The following is a 12,548-nucleotide window of genomic DNA, read 5'->3' on the forward strand; positions in this document are numbered from 1 at the left end:
TACTCTGTCCTCGAGGAGGAAGAGCATAGCTCCCTACTCCTTAAGTAGGTTGCACATAGTGACTTCCTTCCGTAGAGCACAGTAGAAGAAGGAGGAAAAAGAGTAACTTGATGATATAACAGTCTGACAAACACTGCTTCAGCCAGGTGACCAAGACTGACATTAACAGGGATAAGTCGTGTTAATAATATGTACCCCTGATAGGATGTGATGAGAGTGGCACTTGACTTCTCTGGTGTTTTCGGAACCTATAAACCCAGTCTAATCATGAGAAGAATATCAGATCAATTTGAATTGATGGACATTCTACAAAATAAGGAAGGCCTGAGAAACTGTCGCAGCCAAGAGGAGCCTCAGGAAATAAGATGACTAAATATAATGTGTTCTGAATGGACTCCTGGAACAGAAAAAGGACATTAGGTAAAAATTAAGGAAATCTGACTAAATTTGTTAGCAATAATGTATCAATATTCATGCATAGTGACAAATGTTATTAAATTAATATAAGGTGTTAATAATAGAAGAAACTGGATATGGGGTTTATTTTCTCTGTTCTCTCTTTACAACTTCACAAATATATTCTAAAATAAAAAGCTTATTTTTAAAAAGGTATGTTGTGGGGGCTGGGCGTCGTGGCTCACACCTGTAATCTTAGCAATCTGAGAGGCTGAGGTGGGCGGATCACTTGAGATCAGGAGTTTGAAACCAGCCTGGCCAACATGGTGAAACCCTGTCTCTACTAAGAATACAAAAATTAGCTGGGCGTGGTGGTGGGCGCCTGTAATCCCATCTACTCAGGAGGCTGACGCAGGAGAATCGCTTGAACCCAGGAGGCAGAGGTTGCAGTGAGCCAAGATCATACCACTGCCCTCAGGCCTGGGCAACAGAGCAAGACTCTTGTCTCAAAAAAAAAAAAAAAAAAAAGATATGGTGTTTGTGTGTGTTGGTGGATGAGGATTGGAGAGAAAGAAAAAGAAGAGAAGGAAAAACCCATTCTCCATATAAGAACTACCTTCAAAAGACTTGACCTTTGAATAATAGGTTGAATAGTGGAGCTGAAATTGGAGGTGAGCCATGCTTACTAATTGGAAAGACTCCAGTTTCTTAAATTCGCATTTTCATTCCAATTAAATCCTGATCCCTATATTGTGAATTTGGCTTTTTCTAACATTTCTTGTCATTGTTTTTACCCTTTCTCCCCCAAACTCTATTAATGTGAAAATTGTTTCAAAGAATAGATTAAGCCAAAAGACAAAAACAAAACAACCACCAAAAAAACTAAGCATGTTATTAACAAATAGTTTTTTTCCCACAAGTAATGTTATCCTCATTAAAAATTCTGTGCCCACTGGTTTATTGACTGAAAAATCACACGTGCATCTATCTATGTAGTATTAGTTGTATATGAAACATTGAAGATTTGCTCCTGGTACACATGCCTACATTCTTAAGATATGATTGATGCCAGTCTGGAAGTCAAGAAGACTTCTTATTTTACCCATATGTAAAGCAATTGGTGAGCAATAGGAAACAACAGCTCAGTTTTTTTAATGGACTTGTGGGTTTTGAAGGTATCTGTTTATTTTCATTCTGATTCATAATCTCTTCTGATTAACTATTTCTTAGGTCTTCCCTATGGTTACATGTATGAAATAGTGAAAGGTGAGGCTGATGTCTGTGTTTCACTGTGTATGAATTCTGACTTCCTCAGTCACAGAGAGAAAACTGAAGTAGGCGAAGCTGAACTTTGAGATGCTCATTCTCTTTTTTTGGTTTTCATTCCTTGATAGAGGCTGACTCCATCCCCTGTAAGGCCAATCCTGTTTCAATGCACTAATTAACAACAGTACATAAAAGAAACTTTCTTTACACATTTAGAAACCATGTCTCACTATCATGCTCACTTTGAGTGCACTAGTAAGCTTTAAAGTATCTTGCCTGGTCACAGTGGCTACTTTGAGAGGTCCTAGGGTCACAGTCACATGACTGACATCCTCTGCCAGGGACCAGATTCCAGTATCCATCAGCACAACGGTCACAGGCCAGGCCTGTGACATTCGGCAGACAAGGACATGCACCAGTGACAGGGTCACAGAGGCAAGCTCCCCCACCAGGGGGACACTCCATGGGACTCACGCCGGAAGCATGGCAGGAGCATCCTGTGATGACAAAACCATCATCAGAGGTAAATTCAATGATAAATGTGGCATTTAGCAAACCATACAAACAGCGTTTTAGACCTGGATGTATCATTTCTCCAAGGGGCTCAAAGAATGAACGCCTTATAATAGTAAAGAATTTACCAAAGAATCTATGTAGGTTGAACCCATTTAATGGTTTCTGATCTCCCCAAATGCAAGTTCATGTGGTCGAACTTGCTCCAAGAGCTCACAGTTAGGATGATTAAAAGTCTTATTTTTCCCTCATGTCACTCACCAAAGTTCCATTTATTTAAATGACTTGAAAACAATGGTTTACGTACACATTACAGTCACATGATGAGTTTGTTACAATGCAGATTCCTGGGCGTCACTCCCAGAGATTCTGACTCAGTAGGTCTGAAGTACAGCCTAGGAATTTGCATGTTAATACACCTCACCTCCCCACTGCTCTGGCACAGGTGAACTGCGGACTAAACTCTGAGAAACAACGCTTTGAATCCACTAGGACAGGTATTTCAGGCAACAGACACAAAAGGCAAACTAATAACACCAGTGAGAACATTGTGGCTGCATCTGAGAATACCAGTGGTTGCAATGCACTAATTTCTGTTGATGAGTTCCGTACAACAGCCCTGTCACCTAGTGGGTGCTGCTTTTGCCTGCTGGGACTGGCCTAACTGAAATGATCATGGGAGAGCTGACAACACACTTATGAGCTGTCACTCAGCTGACACATTTCCCCCTGGGAGTTTTGCAGACTTACTTCTGCAGGTCTGATTGAGGGCTGATCCATAGTGACCTGGTTTGCAGAGCTGGCAGTTTGCGCCCTGAGTGTTGTGCAAACATCGAAGGCACTCCCCTGTTACCCGGCTGCAGGACTCTGGATCGGTTACATCTATGTTGTTGTTGCAGGCACATGGTTGGCAAGGTGCTCCTGAAATTCTTGGATTTCCATAGAAACCAGTAGAGCATTCTCCACACTGAGTACCTGAAAGAAAGTGGGAGGAAAAGGAATGGGGTGAGGTATCAGTGTTGGGAGAGAGGAGGAGATGGATGTTGTAAATAGAAAATTATTGGGCTCCTCTAGGAATAATGAGAAATCACACATTCGGGGTGAATAACGAAAAGTGTTCTAAGTGAAACAAAACCTTCATTTTCATTATTATTCATTTAAAGAATAAAATGATTATTCGGCTCTCTAAAGTGTTTGGTGGAGAATGGATTCCAGGCTTTCTTCAAATACCATGGAGCTGTGGGCACAGGATTTCTAGATCCTTATATAATCAGCATCACACTAGCGTGCCCCAGGACCCAAGACTAATCTCAGCCCCTGGTCTCCTGGGGCAACCCACTCTCAGTTGATCCTAGAGGTGAACTAAGGTGAAAATAAAGCAGGCCTGAAGAGAAAGTCCCAAACAGCAATAGCTGTCACTTCTAGAAGTGAAGATGAGCAAGAGCAGTTTTCATGACATATGAGCCCTTGAGGGTGTTTCTGTTAAGCAGTCTGAAGGAACCACCTTTCTCTCTAACACTCTTTACCCTTGCAACCATGAGATGACTGCGGCTTTTTAGGTGCCCAAACTGTGGCTCCACTCTCCACATTTTGGTTCATCCCACTTGGAAATGTTCACTTAGCCCAAACATGGTCTCAGTTCTTAAAAACTGACCAAACATACCAAACCATGCATTGGGAAAGAGGCTGCAAGGGAAGAGGTGAGAATTAACTGTTAACCTTAGATGTAACAAATGAGGGGAAAATCAGGCATGTAATTTATCGTGATGGTAATTATCATTAGTATTGCCATAAGTTCTACATATCATTAAATCAAATAGACTTCATAAGTTATCTTCTTATTTTCAGTAAACATTCACACTCATGTTTCATGTGTAAATACCTTTTTTTTTTTTTTTTTAATTTAGAGACAGGGTCTTGCTCTGTTGCATAGGCCCCAGGCTGGAGTGTAGTGGCATAATCAGAGCTCACTGTAGCCATGAACTCCTGGGCTCAAGCGATCCTCTTGCCTCAGCCTCCCCAGTACCTAGGGCTACAGGTGCAATCCATCATGCCTAGCTAATTTTTAAAATTTCTCTGTGGAGACAGGGTCTTGCTTTGCGGCCCAGGCTGGTCTTGGATTCCTGGCCTCAAGTAATCCTCCCTCACCCACTTCCCGGCCTTCCAAAGTACTGGGATTACAGGTGTGAGCCACTGTGCCTAGCCCTCTTAAAGTCTTTAAAATAAAATTTTCAATTGAGCAAGAGATACATGTTTTGAATTAAGACTTATGTGATGGCTGTAGAATGCCCAAATATTGCTTCAAGCTACCTGAAAAAAATTAGTAATGTCTGTGAAATATCAAATTGAATATTTGAAATTATGTAAAGAAAGCATTTGACTAATTCCATTTATTTTTTAGTTGCTTGTTATATATAATATATATGCTACTTTATCACATTTATATCTTACTTAACGTGATAATTTTATTTTAAATAAATTAACTTGATTTGGTCTCATTTGGTCAATTAGTTTTCTAGAACATTATTTGCAAACAATCATAGCTCAGTGGCTGATGAGTTTTAATTGTCATTGGTTTGTGAATCATTCAAATTCTTTGTTCAATAAAGCAGCTATTTATCACATTGTGTCTTCTTACCATTTCTGCACCACACATTTGTCCAAGACAGATAAGTCATGAATATATGATCATTTTACAGATTACAGTGTGGGATAAAGAGAAAAAATTGCATCAAGCACTATACTGCATACCCGTATAACCTTGAAGACAATTGCAGATTACATCTGAGCTCCACAGATTCTGATAACAGGAATGGGCAAAATACTGATTGCTTGAGGGATCATCTGGACACAGGCAAGGACGACAGGGCTGTCCTGAAGAAGGATTTCCATAGTAACCATCAATACACCTGTCAAGACAATTTCCTTTCACCAAAATGTTTCCAGGAAAAGATCACATGTTAGCCAATGACGGTTTGCTATGCTTTAAAACAGTGCACCTCTGAAAACTGAATATTTTAGAAGATGTTCATTTGCTCTGCAAAACGACTTTTGGTTTTTATATCAAAAGTCTCAACGTATGGTCAATTAAACTCTATGTAATAGCACTCGATTTACATGTCACATTTGAGGAACATAGAAAGTAACATGCCAGGCAAATGTGTGTTATTGATTTAATCCTGCATTTTCTGGCTCGTAAGATGATTTTGAAGGGTGAGAAAGCAATGCTCTCCCCGACCTATAACAGTCCTCCCTCCCACACTTAAATATTGTTGAGTCTCTACTCAATGGATCTCTATTAGGAGATTGGAACAAAGTGTTAAAGACCTAAAAATTAAAGTGCATATGAATTCCATACCTTTCACAGTTTCTGCCAGTTGTAAAGCCTCCACAATTGAAGCATGACCCTGTCTCAGGATCACAAAGTTCAGCAAACCTATTACAAGGGCAAGGGTGGCAGCTGGGAAATCCAAAGTAGCCTGCCAGGCAGCGATCACAGCGGCGGCCAGACACCTCTCCATGGCAGGGGCACTGTCCTGTTACTTGGTCACATACAGTGTCCTTTGATCCTTGAGGATGGCAGTGACATGCTGGATGAAGCAAAGAGAAGTATGCTGGAGCGGGGATGAGTGGTGTGTGGTGGTGAAAGAGTTACAGTTCTGGTGTCTCATTTCCTTTCCCAATCCCAGTGAACTAAGCAAGCCTGTAACGTGCTTAGGACACAGCATATAATGAGTTCCAGGTAAACGTTAAATAACAATTCACTGAGTCACTGGATAAACAGTATGTTGCGAACAATTGGGTTTAATTAACGTTTGTTGTTAAAAACAAGTAACATGTTTTTAACGACTTAAACTTCCATATATCTTAGGTATATTAATATAACCTCTAGTATTAATATTTTAGTATTAATATAGTATATATAAATACTATACTAAAATAATGGTATAGTATTAATATAATCTCTAGATTATAAACCATATAAGAGCCCATCTTAACATGGTCAGAGTTTTCTTTTTCCTAGACAAGATGGAAGAGGCCCAATCCTTTTCTGATAAATTGTTGAATCCCTTGAGCCAATCTTCCCTGTGCCAAAATGTGATGCCAGTTTATGTGATAGGGTGGCGCATGGAAGAAATGTTTGTTCCTTTGTCTAGATCCCTCTGTGTATCTCAGGCATTTTGTAACTTTTCTTAAAAAAAAGAAAAGAAAAGAAAGCAATGATGGATCCAATGATGGGCTGGGTAGGTGGCCATGCCCAAGCAATGCCCAGGAAGGGGAACCATTTCTCTGGATTATGATTGAAAAGATATGTTTCCCTACTTGGAAAGGAAATTAACCTACCTGTAGGTTTTCATGGTTCCTAAGGTAGGAATCTGAGGGAACAGTATTTTCACTAATGATTTACACTGTGAAGAGAGAACTATATACCTGAACATATTAGCCATGAGAGCTGTATTATCAGCTGTGGATGAAGCCCCATCTAAACCTTTATCAATGGGTGACTTATAAAATGAGTTACAAGGCTGTTTGCAAACCTCGCATCAGAAAGGGTGATATCCTCATTGGGAGAAGTCTTGTCTGTGGTGACAGCATTGTCCCTTTCTTGACTCCCCAATCTTATCATTGTTTTAGCCTTTCCAGCCACTGGGTTTGTGAGCTAGATCCTCAAGCTGGCTTTGCCAGCTCCCTTCATGGTGTTCCACGTTTTAACTGAACTACCAACCATTTGACACAGACTGCAAACTTCCAGAGGCATGGACTATGCCTTGTTCATTACTCTCGGTTCCTAATGCAGCTCTGCCTACAGTCAGGGCCCATTGATGAATGGATGAATGAAGTGTAGCAAAAAAATGTTCAGTATATTTTATGTACATAGATAGTCTGAATAATGTAGTCAGGTTTCCAATCTCCTTCCCATTAAAACCCCCCTCCATGACTTTGCCTGCTGTCAAAATGTCAAGACTGTGAGCAAGTGTTTCCCCTTGTGTGTTTTGCTACGTACGGTGACAGCCGTGATGCCCCAAATCATAGCTTCCAGTTGAGCACCTGTCACAGCAGCGCCCGACCACAAGAGGTTTACACTGGCACTGGCCTCCAAGTCGGCTGCAGCTGGATCCGACTGAGCCCTGGGGGTGACACTTGCAGGCTGCAAGGAACAATGGAAGGGAGGTAGAAATGAATGAAGAGGCAGAGAAGCACCTCACCTTGTTAGTAGCTATAGTTCACCTCTCTCTCATTTAAGACCTCTTTAATACTCAACTCCCTCATCTGTTAAATAGGAATAATATAGAATCTGCCTTGTGGGATTGTTGTATGGATAAAAGGAAATAAGTTCTGCGAAGTAGTTAGAATAGTGCTGGTACATAGGGTGCTCAATAAACATTACTTAACAAGTTAACAGACTTAAAATTGGTTTTAAATAATTATTCTAATGTAATTAATACTATTGGCATTCTTAATACTTCAATTCCTGATGTTCTACATTGGTGCTGAATTATACCTACTACTTTATTTTTTAGAGACAAGGTCTCACTCTGTTACTCAGGCTGGAGTGGTGTGATCATAGCTCACTGTAGCCTTGAATTCCTGGGCTTAAGCAATCCTCCTGCCTCAGCATCCCAAGTAGCTAGGGCTACAGGTGTCTGCCACCATACCCCTTACTAGTGTTTTGTTTGTTTGTTTGTTTGTTTGTTTTTCTGAGACTGAATCTCATTCTATGGCCCAGGCTGGAGTGCAGTAGTGTGATCTTGGCTCACTGCAACCTCCGCCTTCCCAGTTCAAGTGATTTTCATGCCTCAGCCTCCCGAGTAGCTGGGATTACAGTCACGTGCCATCACACCTGGCTAATTTTTAGTAAAGATGGTGTTTCACCATTTTGGCCAGGCTGGTCTCGAACTCCTGACCTCAAGCAATCCACCTGCCTCAGCCTCCCAAAGTGCTGGGATTACAGGTGTGACCCACCATGCCCGGTCCCCCTTACTAGTTTTTTATTTCCCCCTATTCCATATATTTCATGACATGGTGGGTACCCTGAACTCATAGCTCTGTCCTAATGGAAAAAGCATTTGCCTAACATTCAGGAAGCCTCGGCTGTCATTGTAGCTGTCACTCTATAGCCATGCTTCTCAACTGAAGGATGATTTTGTCCCTTAGGTGACATTTGACAAAGTTTGGAGACATTTTTGGATGTCACAACTAGGGGAGGGCAGTACCGGTATAGGATCTGCAGGGCTGCTGCTAAACACCTGATAGTGCATGGGGCAGGCCCCCGCAGCAAAGAATTACCCAGCTCAAAATTTCAGTAGTGCTGAGGGAGAAAAGCCCTTCCATAGCTAAATGAAATGGGCAAGTTACATACAGATTTTGGGCCCCAATATGCTCATTTATTAAATGAATATTTTGGGATGAAAGATGTCTGGAGTTCCTTCCAGCCCTAGAATTCCAAATGAATATTTTAGGATCATTGTTCCAGCCATCTAGCCTATAAATGCTGCTGCAAAGTTCCTCTTTTATACACTCAATGTACTGTGCATTATGATTCCAACACATCAGCAGACCACTCTGTGTATCTAATCATTGAGTGATGGGTATTTTGGTTGTTGTTTGGAGTGGATGCTAACATAAATTGATTTGCTCCAAAAAGCATTTGTATGGATGTCAGTGCCTCAGTAGAGCCCATTAAACAGATACTTACCCACAGCCCCATCATGCAGCTTGGCAGACATGCTGATGATCAGCCTTTCACAGGCACCCGGGAGCACTTGAGGTCCCATTGCTGAGGCAATTTCAACACAGTTGTGAAGCTGATACTCATCTAAGTCCTGCTTGCTGCAGAAATTCTCCAATGAATTGATTTGGGGAATAAGGCCAAGCTTTTGAAAGAATGCAAAAAGACTTAACATTCAAACTATCTGCTGTGTACGATTCTACTTACATATAAAAAAATTAGATCTATGAAAATAATGGTTCAAAGAAGACTCAACTCAATCCTTTAAACTGGTTAAGACTGAAGACTTTAAAGATTTTCAATTTATTTAAGAAATCTTTAAATATTTATATTTCTGGACTTGTGGCTAAGAAAAAAAAAGCCTTTATCTTTCTACTATCATATTTTTTACTTGCTAATATGTTTGTCTAGATTTGAAAGAGTAATAACATCAAGTTGGTCATTTTGAACAACTCGTGTTAAAAGCAGCAGTGAAAATGGGTTTTAATTCAGCAGGTAAAGTCTGGAGACTAAACCTGTGCAGATACATCTCCTCTAGTCTTCTTTTTGCTTTATCTGTCCTGAAACCAGTTTCCATAGCCCTTTACTTCAACCCTCTTCAGTCTTTCCCTAGTTGTCCTTTGACACACCCAGCTGGTGGCATCACAACCCTAGATGACCAGAACTGACGCTTGAACAACACAGGTTTGAACTGCATGGGTCCCTTCTATGTGGATTTTCTTCCGCCTGCACTACTCCAAGACAGCAAGGCCAAGCCCTCCTCTTCCTCCTCCTCCTCAGCCTACTCAGCGTGAAGATGAAGAGGATGAAGACCTTTGTGATGATCCACTTCCACTTAATGAATATAAACATATTTTCTCTTCCTTGTATTTTCTTAATAACATATTCTTTTCTCTAGTTTACTTTATTGTAGGATACAGTATATCCTACATATACAAAATATATATTAATTGGCTGTATGTTATTGGTAAGGCTTTCAGTCAACAGTGGGTGATTAGTAGTTAAGTTTTTGGGGAGTAAAAAATCATATGTAGGTTTTTGACTGCATGGGGGTGTTGACACCCCTAACCCCCAAATTGTTCAAAAGTCATCTGTATTTACCAGTGTCTCCTCTTTCTGCTGTACTCTGAGCATATGTCGTTACCTCCTTACTACACAGAGGAAACAGACCCCAGCAAAAGGCCTGGAGCTTCCTACTACCTGCCTCCCAAATTCCAGGCTCTCGAGTCTTACCACCCATCCGGAACATTTAGTGCTCAAGAAGGAAGAGGTATTGGGAGTGGAAGAAGTGTCCCATTGGTAACTCCTCTAACCTTACAAAACTCTTCTGCATATTATGTTTGCTTTCTTCACTCTCTTCCTCTCAACTCACATTTAAATGTGCTCAAGTCTCTCCCATCTATAAAATCACCTCCTCAATCGTACATATTCCTCTTGCCACTGCCCCTGTCTCTGCCCTTTGACTCCTTGATAGGCAAATTTCTTAAAAAAATCATTTCCTTGTCATCACCCCTGCCTCATCTGCCATTCACCCTTCAAGCCAATGCAATACTTCTCCCCTATCCCATCCCTAAATGTTAGAGTTCCTCAGGGTTCTCTCATCAGCACCCCCCTAACTCCACACCTACTTCCTAGGTGATCTTGGCCACACTGGGCCACCATCTGAATGGGTGCCAGCATCTGAATTTACATCTCCTGTGCACCTGTCAGTCGTGGGCTCCAGATCTGCACTGATATCTAACGCCTATTAGTTGCCCCACAGGCACTGCAAAACAAACATGCCTGAACCCCACTTTCCTTTCTGTGCTTACTCTTGGTAGACAATGCCACTATCTGTCAAGCTGCTCAGTGGAGAAAACTGAAGGAGGTCATCTTTGACACTTGCCTCTTTGCTATCAACACTTTTGCCTAACGCACATCCCACACACATCAAATCACAAGCCTGGCCAATTCCTCCTCTTAGATGTGTCTAGGGTGCATTTATGGTTCTTTGTTCCCCTGCCACTTCCCTAATTCAGGCCACCTGGATGATTACAGTGGCAGCTGAACAGATGGCCCAGCATCCACTCTTGCCACACCCAATTCATTTTCTACACTAAAGTCAGAGTGATCTTTTTAAATGCAGTTTGTCCAGATAATCTCCTTCTTAAAACTTTTCAGTGGCTTCCCATTGCCTCAGGATAAAAATCTGAACTTTTTTTTTTTTTTCATTTTGCTATGCTCCTCCTGCTCATCCTCTCAACCCCATGGTCCTCAATATGGGAGGTACTGCCCCTCTAGGGAGCATTTTGGAAATTTGTGGAGGTGGTTTTAGTTGTCACAGCAATAGAGTGATGTTTATTACAGGCATTTAGAAGGTTGCAGTCAGAAACGTGGGACATTCTCACAAAATGGCCCTTATAGCTTTTGAAAGTTCCATTGGATATTCATGAAGGAGAAAACCCTGTTTATAGTTTGAGTCGAGAGCCTAACTCTATGTTTTTGAAACATGTTTACAACACACCTGCTTTCATGGCTCTCTCCATGAAAGCAGTGATTCTACCTATGTGAGCCATCTTCCTACTTCATTGTGTCTTCTGGTGTATTCATGCCTGTACATGTACGCATTGAAGTCTGATGATTTATTTATCCATACTTTCCTTTTGTTTTTCCTTTGTATTAATATTAGCATATTACATTGATGTTATTTGGAAGTCATGTATGCAGATAGGCTATAGTGCCTATGAATTTCATTTCAGGATGGTAAGGAATATTAGAAAATATTTGTAATAAAAATATTTTTAAAAGTTAAAAAAGGGGGCATGGGATTGGGTCAGATGAGGCTGAGAACCACTGCGAGAGTCATGCTGAGCTTTTTGGGTCTGTGCCCTGTCACGGTTCCCAGGACCTCTAACCCCATGCTCTCATTGCTTGCTTCTCTGCATCTCCCCTTTAGAGAATAAGAACCGGGGTGGCAGGGATAGTACATGTCTTGTTTACACCTATGCCTACCACAGTGTCTAATTTATAGTAGGCGCTTCATAGAAATTTGTTCAGTAAAGAATATTTACAGGTCTACTACTGTATTCTTAAGTTGATATGAAAATGACTCTGTGCTCTCCAAACACAAACCAAGTGGGGAGAGATGAAAAAGAAAGCCATATGGGCTGGGGTTGGGGATGAGGGCAGCCAACCAGAGATAATTTACAGCTCTTGGTCTGAGCCATTGATAGTTGGCCATTCTGGGAACTGAGAAGATAGACCAGATGACAAGAGTTCCTGTCAGCTATAGGAATTCTTTTTTTGATGGAGTCTTGCTCTGCTGCCCAGGCCTGGAGTACAGTGGCACGATCTCAGCTCACTGAGACCTCTGCCTCCAGGTTCAAGTGATTCTCCTGCCTCAGCCTCCCCAAGTAGCTGGGACTACAGGCAAACACCACCACGCCCAGCTAATTTTTGTACTTTTAGTAGAGACGGGGTTTTGCCATGTTGGCCAGGCTGGTCTCAAACTCCTGATGTCCGGTGATCCGCCCACCTCGGCCTCCCAAAGTGCTGGGATTACAGGCGTAAGCCACCGCGCCCGGCCAGCTATAGGATTTTGTAATGCCATGACTCACTTCTTCTACCAGAAACTTCTAAGGACTTTATGTTTACCAAGTATATT

The 12,548-nt window shown here is 41.5% G+C and overlaps 1 protein-coding gene across 11 annotated transcripts in view, besides 1 other annotated feature; it reads right to left on the reverse strand.

The window, feature by feature from the left end:
* The window catches only part of LAMB4 (laminin subunit beta 4), a 118,700-nt gene that overhangs the window by 49,174 nt on the left and 56,978 nt on the right, over window positions 1–12,548 (reverse strand). For 10 of the 11 annotated variants that reach the window (XR_927421.2, XR_927422.2, XM_011515975.2 and 7 more), the window contains exons 18-23: window positions 8,873–9,050; window positions 7,181–7,324; window positions 5,534–5,765; window positions 4,927–5,084; window positions 2,926–3,150; window positions 1,939–2,159 (exon numbers count right to left, since the gene is read on the reverse strand). Coding sequence is in view for 9 of the 11 variants with exons in the window: in XM_011515975.2 (XP_011514277.1) it covers window positions 1,939–2,159; window positions 2,926–3,150; window positions 4,927–5,084; window positions 5,534–5,765; window positions 7,181–7,324; window positions 8,873–9,050 (1,158 nt within the window). In the remaining 2 variants the exon portion in view is untranslated. Of the gene's footprint in view, window positions 1–1,542; window positions 2,160–2,925; window positions 3,151–4,926; window positions 5,085–5,533; window positions 5,766–7,180; window positions 7,325–8,872; window positions 9,051–12,548 lie in introns of those variants that run through there. The other variant, NM_001318047.2, reaches the window with a different exon arrangement.
* Window positions 7,065–7,289: a silencer, noted in NCBI's record as "fragment chr7:107708345-107708569 (GRCh37/hg19 assembly coordinates)". NCBI's record gives its function as "represses an EF-1alpha promoter that drives an FKBP-Casp9 reporter gene in an ReSE screen in both phorbol 12-myristate 13-acetate-treated (for megakaryocytic differentiation) and untreated K562 erythroleukemia cells {active_cell/tissue: K562 | K562(+PMA)}" and the evidence as "EXISTENCE:reporter gene assay evidence [ECO:0000049][PMID:32094911]".

The sequence above is a fragment of the Homo sapiens genome, chromosome 7 (assembly GCF_000001405.40).
Source record: "Homo sapiens chromosome 7, GRCh38.p14 Primary Assembly".
Lineage (NCBI taxonomy): Eukaryota > Metazoa > Chordata > Mammalia > Primates > Hominidae > Homo > Homo sapiens.